This window comes from Homo sapiens, chromosome 2 (assembly GCF_000001405.40).
Source record: "Homo sapiens chromosome 2, GRCh38.p14 Primary Assembly".
Lineage (NCBI taxonomy): Eukaryota > Metazoa > Chordata > Mammalia > Primates > Hominidae > Homo > Homo sapiens.
The window spans coordinates 151,512,274-151,525,694 of NC_000002.12; the positions used below are offsets into that span (position 1 = coordinate 151,512,274).

A 13,421-nucleotide genomic window follows, 5' to 3' on the forward strand; every position below is an offset into this window, starting at 1 on the left:
TCCACCCACCTCGGCCTCCCAAAGTGCTGGGAATACAGGCATGAGCCACCATGCCGGGCTTCTCTCTTTTTTTTTTAAGAGTCTCACCCTGTCACCCAGGGGACTGCAGTGGTGCAGTCACAGCTGACTGCAGCCTCAACCGCCTGGGCTCAATTGATCTTCCCACCTCAGCCTTCCTAGAAGCTGGGACTGGCGTGCACCACCACACCTGGCCAATTTTTGTAGGGACAGGGTTTTGCCATATTGTCCAGGCTGATCTCAAACTCGTGGACTTAAATGATCCACTTTCCTTGGCCTCCCAAAGTGCTGGGAATACAGACGTGAGCCACTGCACCTGGTGAATCTCTTTTTTATTGGGAAAAACTGATCTGAAGAATCTCTTAAGGTATTTATTAATGGAAGGACTTCCATTCTTTCATGATTGGGGTTTATGAGTGATGGCATGACGAATGTCCTTACCTGGCTTGAAAGATTCTTGACTTGTTGGGCATGAATGATCTCTGGAGTATCAACCACAGAAGTGAAATTGGCTTTCTCCATTTCTGCTGATTGCTTATACTTAATCTGTAAAACAACACCGAATAGTTGGGTAAATGTTTGCAATGTGCACAACAGTTGTTGGCTTGATTTGATTAAGAGGTGAGCCATATTTCTTTTCCAAGAGGGACTCATTCATTTGACATTCAACAGATATTTCTTCCTATTTTGTTCATAGTTTTATACCAAAGAGTGAGATTCAGTAAGAAAGGTCAAGTCCTAGCTGTTGAGAGAAGATTTAGTTGGATGCAGGATGGGATATGGGTAAGGAGGGATCATCAACAGATAGTAAGGCATGGATTGTTTACATACGAGCTGGGAGGATGACAAATAAGCAAAAGACCCATACCAATGAGCATTAGACAAGCTAAGATGCCTAAAAACTGTTCTAAACTTAGGGCTTGAAAGGAGAGGAAGAACTCCCAAGATATTCTAAGCAAGGAATTCCTGGCATCAAATGAGTGGACTGACTCAGAAATAAGGCCAAGATGTCGAGTTTGCCCCAGCTCCAAACAGCTACTTAATTCCTCAGTTTCTGCCCTTTGCTCTGAATGTCCCCAGAGCCTATAGACTTAGAAAGGTAGACAGCAATGAGCCTGGCAAAGGGTCCTCCATCCTTTCATTGGGATGGCTTCCTCCAGGCAGATGTTCAAGAATGCCATTGTATGCATGTGACTGTCACCAATAAATCAGATGACAGAGGGACACTTTATGTCCTTAAAGTTACAACTACTTTCCTGAAAGATTGACATCGAATAGTAGCACTGACCTGACTGGCAATATCAGTAGCATTCCTGGCCCTCATAAAATCCGGAGTTTCATTGGCCATGGCATTCAGGCCTCTTCCTTTGACTTCCAGTTCCAGGTCTCGCTTATATTCTTTCTATAGTAGCATTAAAAGAAAAAAAAAAGGTACCTAAATGCTACTACTAGGTAATAAACATACAGGGTGAATGTAAATCCACATAACACGCCACCCCAGTTGTCACAGATAGTGTCGCTTGCTACTCTTCACCTTCGCTCTTCCGTGTGGTAGGATGAAGTGGTGTCTTCAGAAGCCCTCTGGAGGAAACTATTCTATGCAAGTCAGTATGGGTCAACAGAGGTCTCCTTTTGAATACTTTTAGCATTCTCTGCTTAGAAGATTAGAGTATAAAGTAAATTGTACATCTAGTTTGGTACATAACTAAGATTACACTTAGGTGCACACCACTCCAGTGTAGTGTTTTCGTGTAGATGAGCACACCAAATATATCAAGTTAAATCAAATAATATTAGATAATAGATTATGATAACCACTACAGAAACACACTGTTACAATATCCATTCATCAGAAATTGAGGTATATTTTATGTAATGGTTAACAATTATGTTGATATGGAATCTGAAAATGAAAAGCTCTGTTTTTCTCTGTTCTCTGTTTTTGTTTTGCTTTTTCTGGTGTAATTTGGCTAACAAAGAAATGATGCTGTATGAATTACGTGCAGGCAGTCAGCTGTGGGCCTACCTCATTGAGGATTTGAGTGGCATTCTTTGCTCTTAGCATGTCAGGTGTATCTTCCATTTCAGTGAGGCCCTTCCCACGGATGCTTTCCTCTAGATCTTTCCTGTACTCTTTCTATATCATGAAAGAAAAGCAACAACATTGACAAGAAAGCCCAGATTGATTCTCTCAGGCAAAGAAGAAAATAAAAAACAATTCCAATTTTTAAAGGGTTCACAGTTTAGTAAGTAAAAATATGAATACAGGCAGGGTATAAGCATGATCAGTTAACATTAAATATCAAATGAAAGCTTGAAGTTAATAGAATGCTAAGGTAATATTCAAATAAAAAATTAGAAGAATTAACATGGGTAATAGATTAGGTGGTAGTACCAAGCACATGAGAACCCAATTTGAAACCCACAGTTAGGTGGTGATGTAAATGGTAGGAGGAACACATTAATGAGTGTCACTAGTGCAATTATTTGGATTAAGAGGGAAAGAAAAGACCAAGTGGGCACTACCTCGCTTGCTATTTTAGTTGCATATTTGACATGTAACAAAGCTGGCGTGACCTCCAGGCCAGTCAGGTTTCTGCCTTTAATGGACTCTTCATAATCTTTCCTATATTCTTTCTAATGTAAGTAGGAAGGAAAGACAAGTTAAAAAAAAATCTTTATTACAATATATCTCTCCATCTCAGGAAGAAAAAAAAAACAGCATTTTCTATGTATGGGCTCTTAATCATAGTTCTGCTAATGGTCACACATTTGAAACATGTATGATTGTACTTGAAATACTTTGTCTGGAGCAAATGGCCACAAGGAAATTCAGGCTGAGACACTTTGATGGGCCCCTCACTCATCAGTCTAATGTTGTGACTGGGGCAGGCCCTTCACAGAGTGGAAGGATGGATGCACCATCAGGACTCTGAATCCTCTGTTGTCTCTTCTGAACTTTCCCACACCTTTCTTAAGGTGACAAAAGACTTTATTTCAGAATTACAAGTCAGTGAGGCAAGGGGAAAAAAATCGCAGTGGAAGGAGAGCCTAAGGCTACCAAATGCTAACTTGCTTTTTTTCCTAATCATGACCTGTTTTTTTAATATGGGGTCTTGCTATGATGCCCAGGCTGGTCTCAAACTCCTGAGCTGAAGTGAGCCTCCTGCCTCAGCCTGCTGAGTAGCTGGGACTACAGGTGTATGCCACCACACTGAGTTTTGACCTGTTTTTTAAAAATCACTGAATAGCTTAGGTGGGCAGTGAGGCACAGAGGAATTGTATGGTTTTGTCCACTCTGCCTCCCTGCCCCATCTCCTCTCCAGTCTCCAGACTTAGCTGACTCACAGAGGGGCTTGGAATAGATGTTGGAACTCTACTTTTGTAATTTTGTTATTTTAATAGAATTTTAAATTTACAGGAAAGTCACAAGAACAGTATAAGAAACTCCTATAGATCCTTTACTCAGATTGACCAATTGTTTGAAGCCATTTTAAAGTTTTGATGACCTGACATTCTATCACCAGAAAGCTCCACAAACTGCTGCTTTTATTTAAAACAATTTTTCTTTATAGTTGGAGGAAGAGAGGCAAATGGAAATTCCAAATAAGCCCATTTCCCACTGAAGACAGACTAAGATTTAAAATAAGATTCCATTCTCTACTCTTGGTTAAAAATGACCAAAAGAAAATTTAGTGCTTCTGCTTACAATTCTAAAATAACGAATATGGCATCTTCACTTTTGATTATCTGGGGTCTTGATAAACATCTTGATCACAAATACCCTTTTGTTTGGCTTGGGGCATTCTACTAAGAGTAGAGCATTTCAAAGCCAAAGGGGTGTCTGTGTGGAGGGAACTTTTCATTCATAAAGGAAAATCCAAATTACATTCAGTATAATTTGTGTTGGGAATAGTTTTCCATGTTCTAATTTTACAGAAATGGCTGTTGAAATAAGACATATGGTAAATATTTACTACCTAGAGCATTTTTAAAAAATAACTGAACCATAGGATTTCTGAGATGGAGAAGATTTTAGTGATCACATGATAAAAAGTTTCATCAGCTACCACTTTTGGATGACAGGAAACTGGCCATGTCATGGGCAGAGCTTGTGTTCAGTAGTGTGATGGATCATTGTTGTGTGGTGTGGTTTTTTTGACTTACCCCACTCTGCATCTGCTGAGACTCTTTGGCAGTGATGTACGTTGGTGTTTCAAAGTCCAGCATGGGTTTTCCTCGTTCCTTTTCATACTTTTCTTTGTATTTCACCTGGTGATAGAAAGCCATGTTAGATATCTCTCCTCTGGTCAATTCCTAGACAGCAGTTTAAGGATAGTATTTTTTAATTGATATGTTCTGTCAATTGGATGGCATCTCATTGCCACTCAAAACAGTTTCCTGTTATGTTTCAGATCCAGTACATTTTTGTTGTTGTCTAGGTGTTGAGGGGATGGGTACCATTACTGTCTGCAAGGCATAATTAGGATTTGGATTCAATTCAAGGACACAAAAGAATCATTGACAAGAGCCAGCTGAGAGAAATGCTGATGCAAGAAAACGCATGGGGAAAATTACCCAGGTAGATGAGGTTGGTCAATAATTGATGGGTAGCTGTAAACACTTTAAAATTATTAATGCTATTAGCATTAATCAATATTTCTGATAAAAATCCTTAGTTTTTCTTTCACAAGAACTTTTATCAGAGACCTGGGGTCTAGATTGAATGGATAACACATGGAGCTTTATTTATAAGTAAACAACTCTATGTGGGTCCTGACTGGCCATATATTTAATGCAGCCAATAAATTGGTATAAAAATGAAAACTAGTTTACATATTGACTGACTTGTTAAAAAACCTGACAGTCTCAAAAGATCCTCAAGCCTGTTGTATAAATAAAATTTTCTCATCCTCATAACATGTGGTTAAGAATCAGGGGAGCCACATAAATGTATGTGACAGAGAACTTCTGGAAAAACAGGCGAAGACCCTCATGCACGCAGCACCTTGATGGCACTGCTCAATCTCCGAGCTCTTGGGTTGTAACAAGATGTTGGAATAAAGGCCTGGGGGCACATACTGCCCTACAGAAGACACGAGGACGTTTCTAATAGTTAGTCCTCATGGTTAATGCCCAACAGGGGACCTAAATAATGCTGAATTTGTGATATAGGAGGTCATGTGATAGTAAGTTCTTTCCTCTGAGAATCTTCAATTATAGTCATGAATTGCTTAACAACTGGGATATGTTATGAGAAAGGCTTTGTTATGCAATTTCATCATTGTGTGAACATCACAGAGTACACTTACACAAACCTAGATGGTATAGCCTACTACACACCTAGGCTATATGGTATGGCCTGTTGCTCCTAGGCTAGAAACCTGTACAGCATATTATTTTACTGAAATCTGTAGGCACTTGTAACACAAGAGTATTTGTGTATCTTGATACCTCTAAGCATAGAAAAGGTACAGTAAAAATATGGTATTAAAGGTTTTAAAATGGTACACCTGCATAGGGTAGCTCCATTATAATCTTATGGGACCACTGTCATACAGGTGGTCTGCTGTTGACCAAAAACATCATGCGGTATATGACTGTATCTTAAAAATTTAGTAATTTTGTAAATTCCCAGAACTGCTTTCAGTAGTAGACCTGATCGTATCACTTCTCTGTTTGAAATCTTCCTGACTCCCTATAATCTACTGTAGTGTTCCCTAACCTGGGGCACAAACCCATGGGGCACATTGGAGTTACCATGAGGGGTTTGTCCCCTCATAAAACACACTCTTTATGCTTCCAGCCCCTGCCAGTAGCACATAATTGCATGTATATTTCTCAACTATATGTAGATGTTGTTGTAATTTATAACATAAGAATTTGTTTCAAAAAGTTACCAGATTCAAAACCCCTTATATCTTTGTGCATTTTCTCAAACAATGGAGGGAATCTATGAAATTTTTTTTCACATTGTACTGTGGATGAATGTGCGCCAGAGGAAAAATCGGTCTTGATCCACTTACTATACTCTGTAATTCTGTGGCCTCTTTTAGGTGAAGCTGCTCCAGATTATCGGGTATGGTGTGGTAGTGGCCTTTACTCTTCTCATACTTCTTCTTGTACTGGTACTGAGGGGAAGGCGGCAAAAAAGGCACATTGATGGAGAAGCTGCTCAGCATTCCTATTTTTCCTCTTTAGATTAGACGTTTACACAGCACCATTGTCAAGATCAAACTAAAAATGGCAAACACTAAACAGGAGGTTAAGAAAAAGTTTTAAAAATGAGGATCCAAGTTCAGTATTGTCCGTTAAGATGTAAACACTTAGGTTATGTGGCTTGTTCAAAGTAGGTGTTATAAGTAAAAAGTTAAAAGTGAAAGAAACTATTCCAGAGGGTATTTCTATGTCCTTAGAGAAAAGGGAATGGTTAATTGGAGGGCAAAGTTTAAATATTTTTTAAAAAGAAGCATTTTTACATTCTGAGAGGTGTTACAGACAATGGAGAATTGGTAGATTAATGTTGTCATTTGGAAGAATACACTCAAATGAGAACAGTTTTGTAATAAATCTAGGGTATCAGTAGCAGAGAAGAAGATGCATCTGGGCTCAGAAAGAATTTAGTTCCAAATGGGTAAAACAAGCTGTTTCTGGAGCAAATGACTGAGCTTACAGAACTGGCAAGTTGGCTTGTATTCAGGACATGATTCATGATCAGAGACTCCTTCATGTCAGTCACGGGTTTGTGAAGTTTCTTCAGGTCAGCCTTGTATTTAACCTGTGTGTTATGGGGGAAGAAAGGAAATCACGTAAATAGGAAATGGAACAGCACTAATGGAAATCAAAGTGAGATAGCCCATCGTCAAACAAATGCTGGAGATGGTGATGAAAAATCATACCTCATTCATAGTAGCCAGAAGGCAGAAACAACCCAAGTGTCTGTCAGCAGATGAATGGATAAACAAAATGTGGCATATACATACAATGGAATATTATTTAGCCATAAAAGGAATGAAGTTCTGATATATCCTACAACATGGATGGACCTTGAACATATTATGCTAAGTAAAATAAGCCAGACACCAAAGGACAGATACTGTTTGATTCCATTTATATGCACTCTCTAAAACAGGCAAATGCATAGAGACAAAAAGTAGATAAGAGGTTCCCAGGAGCTGACGGGAGGAGGGAATGGAGAGTTTTTGCTTAATGGTTATAGTTTCTGTTGGTATGAAAACATTTTGGAAATAGTGACAGTAGTTGGATAATATTGTGAGTGTTATAAATGCTACTGAATTGCACACTTAAAAACAGTTAAAATGGCAAATACCATGTTATATATTTTACCACAATTTTAGAAACATACCTCACTTGCAAGATTATTAGCATCTTTCATGACTTTGTAGAGCTGGCTGTCTTTTGGATTGTATTTTGGTGTCTTGCCCTTTTCTTTATCGAAATTTTCTCGGTATTTAACCTAACAGCAAATGCAAACATCCAAATTATTCCTGGACATCAATCAATTTGGGAATTGGGGAATAGTAGAAACACAAATGCCAAAGAATATGCATTGTACATAGAGTGATCATATAATCTATTATCCAAACTGGGACATTTAGAGTAAAGAAGACACTATTAATAATTAAGAATGACAAGACAACAGGCATTCAAATATATGATCACTGGCCTTGCTCATTTTTATATTATTCCAAGGTATAAAAAGTAATCACCTCTTTCTAATGCAAAACAAAAAAAAAAAAAAATGGAAAAGGCTTCAGGCTAAATTCAGAGATGTGATTTAATGTACTTGATTTGGAGCATTTTAGCACTCCTAACTAGCAAAACCAACAGCAATTTAAGTCTGTGAAATCCAAAGAAGGGCTGTAAATGATCAAGAAGGTTGAAAAATAAAGAATCTGTTAAATTAGGAGAATTTATTGTTATTTTAAAATAGTACTTTGGCTATATCATTTAAAAATTATTAAACTTGGCCAAAAATGGTATAACTCCTGAGTAAACAAATATGAGAGTTTGGGGGTTAATGGCTTCAAGTGTGATTTCAGACTAGAAGTAGGAAAAAAGTGAGATACTTCAGAATAATGAGAAAAAATAAGATTAAATATACTTTTAGTATACATAAAAATAAGTTTAGGTAGGCAGAGGGCTAAATAACTCCAATTTAAAAAATAAGCACAATGCCTTGCACTAATAGTTGCTCAATAAATGTGATTTGATTGAATGGAAGGAAGAGACAGTCATTATGTCTAGGTAAAATATCTAAAGAGGATGATAGCCAGGTGTGGTGGCTCATGCCTGTAATCTCAGCACTTTAGGAGGCCAAGGTGGGTGAATTACTTGAGCCCAGGAGTTTGAGACCAGCCTGGGCACGTGCTGAAACCCCATCTCCACTAAAAATACAAAAATTAACTGGGCATTGTGGTGCACCCCTGTAGTCTCAGCTACTCAGGAGGCTGAAGTGGGAGGATCACTTGAGCCCGGGAGGTGGAGGCTGCAGTGAGTCAGGATCGCACCACTGCACTCCATCGTGGGCAACAGAGCAAGACCCTGTCTCACAAAATAAATAAGAGGATTTATTTATAGGAGAATTCAACAGAATGGAAAGTGACAGAAACATCTCCTAATTGAAAAACAAACTGATGCTTTTGTCAACAGTATTGCAGAATTAAGGCCAGAAGTAGAATTCTACTAGTTATTCACTCTAGGAGGAATGAAAACTGAGCTGTTTCTAGATGTTAGCCAACCAAAAGGGCAATATTTAACCCTCAGGGAATCCTAGAGTTTCTGTTATTGTTAAGATGAAAGACTCACTAACACCAGTACCCCTCATGGTTCATCACTGCTCTTCACCTCCCCCAACTTGACACATCCAGCACAACAGACACAAAATAACAATGAAATCTGCCACATCAGAGAAAATGCATTCACAATGCTGAGACTCCTTTACTTTGAATAAATCCTCAGTGGAAATGCAGAGAAAAAATAAGCATGCAGAACAGTTCAGCATGATGCAGGCACACTGAGACACACAAAGTAAAGGAAAAAGAAACGTAAACAAATGCTACAATGGCTCTTCTCTGAAAAAGTTTCACTCTCAACATAAAGAAGTGGAAGGCCTGCTAAGGAAGGTCTGAGGTGTGAGCTGGTGTCTGGACCAAAGGCAACTTTTCCTAAGAGATATAGAAGTCCATAAAACTAGGAGATGTTCCCAAGAGTTGTGAAACACAGAAAAGCAAACCAGATATGCAGAGTCAGAGTAGGGAAGAAAAGAAGCAAAAGCCCATCTCAAATGAGAATAAAATCTGCTTTTTTTAGAAGCATACTAAAAGTCCTCCTTCTGTCTTTTAGAAGATACTTGTTTCTGAAGAGGTATTTTTCAAGCAGCAATCCCATTGATTCCACTTCAGTTTCTTTTTCTTCTGTTAATTTCAAGTTAACTTCAACCTTTTTAACTGAAAAAAAGTTATGGCTCCCTTCTCCATAGGAAGTCCTCTAAACAAATGCAGCTTTTTACAACTACTAATATGAATCTGAGTTCAGCACTTTTGGCCTTCCTTTTTGACTGGATCTTCTTAAAACTAGTATAGTTTGAAAGGTAAGGACATGTACCAGGTTTAGGACTCTAGGAATTCTTGGAATGGTGTTTGACTAGGGAGTAATGTAGTAAAACTACATACACTTGGCATTAGGGAATGGTGAAGCTTTTTCCCATTAACCATGGGAGCTAAGAGGCAACTCTGCAATGCCATGTCTCGGCAAGTGGCAGCCCCCGGGGTTTATAATCCCATCAGGCTCAGAAATTGGGCCTATTATGGATGTAGTATAGGAAAGTGATTTTGCATTAATTATATTTTTAGGAGTTTAATTGTATTTGAAGTTTAAGATCTAATTTTTTAGCTCCTTTTTATTGAATTGAGATGTATACTGGTGCTTCTAAAGACTGAAGAACAGTCCCGAGAATTAGAAAAGCTATTAAAAGTTTATACTGTTGATTCATAGAAGGCCTGAACTGAGAAACTATATTAAATACCAATCTTCAGTATATTAAAAATCAAAAATGGCAGATAACTTCAGAAGAGGCAGAGGTTTCTTTGGTTGAAGATGAGATTCTCAGTTTGTTTTCATTTCATCATTTAACTTGATCAGTGTCAGCAACCTAACATACACATACATTAGGAGTCCATCTCTGAGTCTAGTCTACCTTCCTATTCCAAGTGGTATGTTCCAGATGGAAAGTTTCATGCAGGAAAAGAAGGGTGTATGCAAAAGTATATCCTTCAACAAATTTCCACAGCAATCTACACGTTCCAACACAAAAATCAACAGAAAAGAATGCAACCTGGTCAGTCTCCTGACCAATGCCAAGAAAGTAGACAAGAATCAGAGGAAGACAGAAATAATGGCTTGCTGGTCTCAGTCTTTCTTACATCACTGATGTGTACATTAATTTTCTTAAGATGCCTCATCATAGGGGTGTCATAAGATGCAGCGCCGTGCCCTCTCCTTTGGCCTTTGAGGTATTCCGCCTAGAGTACGCAGCAAGACAGCAAAGTCAGAACAGGGAAAGCCCACACACAGCTGAAGCGCCCTTGGGCCCAGGGCCACACCATGAAGCTGTCAATCCGGAGACCAGCCTTTCACAGGAAGTAAATGGGACCCATAGGGTCCCATTCTCCATACCATAGGATTCACTTAGTACTAGAAATAGGAGCCTCTTGATTTTCAAAAACAATAAAGTTTTCAAAATTTCAACATCATAGTCGTTTGTTTTTAAATTATAATGATATGACCTTGTACATTTAAAAACATTAACTTTTTGCATTAATAAGTTCTTGTTACATCTCATTACTCTTAGAGATTCCACTGTTTTTTTGTTGGTGGTGGTGATCCCATATCTTAGTTTCAAATACTTATACAATTCCATTAATTTATAATAAAATATGTTACATAGGAATTTTAAGTTTAAAAACTTTTAAAAAATAATATTTGCTTTTCATCAGTCATCTGACCCTCTTGTGTTTTCATAATTCTAACTTGTTCTGTCACTTGACATTACTGCATTATATCTTCCAAAAGATTGGAATCCCATGTTTGCTATTGCTGAAAGTCAGTCACTCACGACAACCAAATGTATATCCCAAACCTATTTCTTCAAACAGATACCTGAGAGGACAAGGAAAAAGAAGGTAGGATCTGTAAATTGGAGGAGAAATGAGATATTCTTAAGCTAAAGTCCTATAGGATCAAACTTGCACTCTGATAGGTCTGGTGGTAGATGATGGGATCTCTGAGCTAAAGTCTGAAAACCTGTCATAACTTGGGGAATTTTAGATAATTGGCCTAACAAGGGAAAATAAGTCATGTGGTAACTGGGTTTGGGCAACACATTTCTGAGTCCATTTGCTTCTCAATAATATGAGATCTGCAAGAATGTGGCATTCTCCATCAGCACCCTGTGCATACCCTGATCAAACACTTGCCAAACAAAATTTTAATGATTTATCCATGGACAAGTAATCTGAAGACATCTGCTCATCCCTACTTCCTAGCCCGGGCAGTTAATATATGTATGTTTAATGAAAAAAAAATGAATATTTTCATCTGGTTGGATTCTAGAAGTTAGAATTTCATTGCTCTTCATGTTAAATCTATCCCAGGTGACTCAAGTATGAATCAGACCCCGAGGATGAAACTCTTAAGGCCTGGGGAGAGGTTCCAGTAGGATCTCATGAACTGATGTTTTTGTCACATAAAGATAGTTAAGCACACAGACACCCAGACAAATGCCCATAAATGGTAAAGTGGAGAACAAGAAAGGTCTAGACAGCTTAGAGGGAAACGAGAAAAGGCCCTCAGTGCACTTTTTATAACTCTTGGAAGCTTTGCAGTACTATTACAGACCCAGCATCCCTTTGCATTTTCAATCTGGAAATCACTTCTTCCTGCAAGGTCTTTTATAATCTCCTCACATGAGAGCCACCAGTGCACCCATCTGCATTACCTGGCTGCTCAGCTTGGCTGCCTTCTTGGCCATTTCTATGTCTGGGCGACCGAGCATGCTTAAGCCATGGCTGCCTTCCTTGCGGTGCTTGGCTCTGTACTCCACCTGAATCAGAGAAAACCAAAATGGGCAACAGGTGATGGTTGCCTGGCATGCCTTGGCAATGGCTGTTGGGGACTGGGGACATTTTCATGACACCCTTACCTCACTGGCCTGTTTGGCTGCCTGTGTGGCCTTCTTGATGTCTGGTCGATCAGCCACTGTGGTGTAATGCAGGTTCTCTTTGGCATCTTTTCTGTAAGCGACCTTTATTGGGGAAGAAAATGTTTACTCAAGAGAGAGGCTTTTTTTTTTTTTTTTTTTTTTTTTTTTTTGAGATGGAATCTCACTCTGTTGCCCAGGCTTGAGTGCAGTGGTACAATCTCAGCTCACTGCAACTTCTGTCTCCCGGATTCAAGTGATTCTTCTGCCTCAGCCTCCCGAGTAGCTGGGGACTGCAGGTGTGCACCACCATGCCCGGCTGATTTTTGTGTTTTTAGTAGAGACAGGGTTTCACCATATTGGCCAGGCTGGTCTCGAACTCCTGACCTCGTGATCTGCCTGTCTTGGGCTCCCAAAGTGCTGGGATTATAGGCATGAGCCACCACGCCCAGCCGAGATATGCTATCTTTCTAAAAGTCCCCATTAAGCACAATCAGCTTTTTTCCTTAAACCCAAACCAATTCTCGCCACTAACTTTTTGAAACTACCACAGAGGAATTAGAGTGACCACACACTGGAACAAGAGAATGCACCAATCTGGGTTCCACTGCTTCAAATGGGCCCCCAAGAGTGTTGAGAGGGAAAACTTACATCACTTTGCTTCTTGGCCACTTCCATAGCATGTTTCACCTCTGGTGGCTCCAGCATGATGGAGTAGTTGGATTTTCCTTTCTCCTTGACAAACTTCTTTTTGTAATTTGTCTAAATAGAGCCAGAATTACTTTTATGAGTAGAGGAAGCTGGGAACAGAGTTGGTTTACTTGAAGAACTGTGAAATCTCCAGGAAAATCCATGCTCCCCATTTTGGCGTCAGTCTGGGACTTAGATAAGACCCATATTCTAGTTCTTCTCTGTCATTTGTGTCCTGCAACCCAACACTAGAACCACCTGGCAATCTTCGGAGAACCTGGGTAGAGGCAAATTAAGCTCTTTTATTTACTATTTCTACCTTTTAAAAATATATGGAACCATATGGGACTCATATAATACCAAGGTTACTACAGCATTATTGATAAGGATAGAGCAGGCAGAGATTACTGAGGCCCAAAGAGGTAGTTTTACCTTTCTAAAATTGGGTAGCAGTTTAATAATAGGAGAGGCCACTCCTAATCAACAATGTTTC

The 13,421-nt window shown here is 39.1% G+C and overlaps 2 protein-coding genes across 51 annotated transcripts in view; one reads left to right on the forward strand and one right to left on the reverse strand.

The window, feature by feature from the left end:
* Positions 1-13,421, forward strand: part of RIF1 (replication timing regulatory factor 1) — a 124,534-nt gene that overhangs the window by 102,372 nt on the left and 8,741 nt on the right. The gene's annotated exons all lie outside the window — the stretch shown is intronic.
* The window catches only part of NEB (nebulin), a 249,138-nt gene that overhangs the window by 26,935 nt on the left and 208,782 nt on the right, over positions 1-13,421 (reverse strand). For 43 of the 47 annotated variants that reach the window (XM_011511227.3, XM_011511226.3, XM_005246613.3 and 40 more), the window contains 11 exons: positions 12,890-13,000; positions 12,242-12,343; positions 12,038-12,142; positions 7,385-7,495; positions 6,692-6,796; positions 6,045-6,149; positions 4,186-4,290; positions 2,545-2,655; positions 2,045-2,155; positions 1,307-1,420; positions 460-564 (listed from right to left, as the gene is read on the reverse strand). In XM_011511227.3, coding sequence (XP_011509529.1) covers positions 460-564; positions 1,307-1,420; positions 2,045-2,155; positions 2,545-2,655; positions 4,186-4,290; positions 6,045-6,149; positions 6,692-6,796; positions 7,385-7,495; positions 12,038-12,142; positions 12,242-12,343; positions 12,890-13,000 — 1,185 coding nt within the window. The remainder of the gene's footprint in view (positions 1-459; positions 565-1,306; positions 1,421-2,044; positions 2,156-2,544; positions 2,656-4,185; positions 4,291-6,044; positions 6,150-6,691; positions 6,797-7,384; positions 7,496-12,037; positions 12,143-12,241; positions 12,344-12,889; positions 13,001-13,421) is intronic. The other 4 variants (XM_047444485.1, XM_047444484.1, XM_047444477.1 and 1 more) reach the window with 1 other exon arrangement.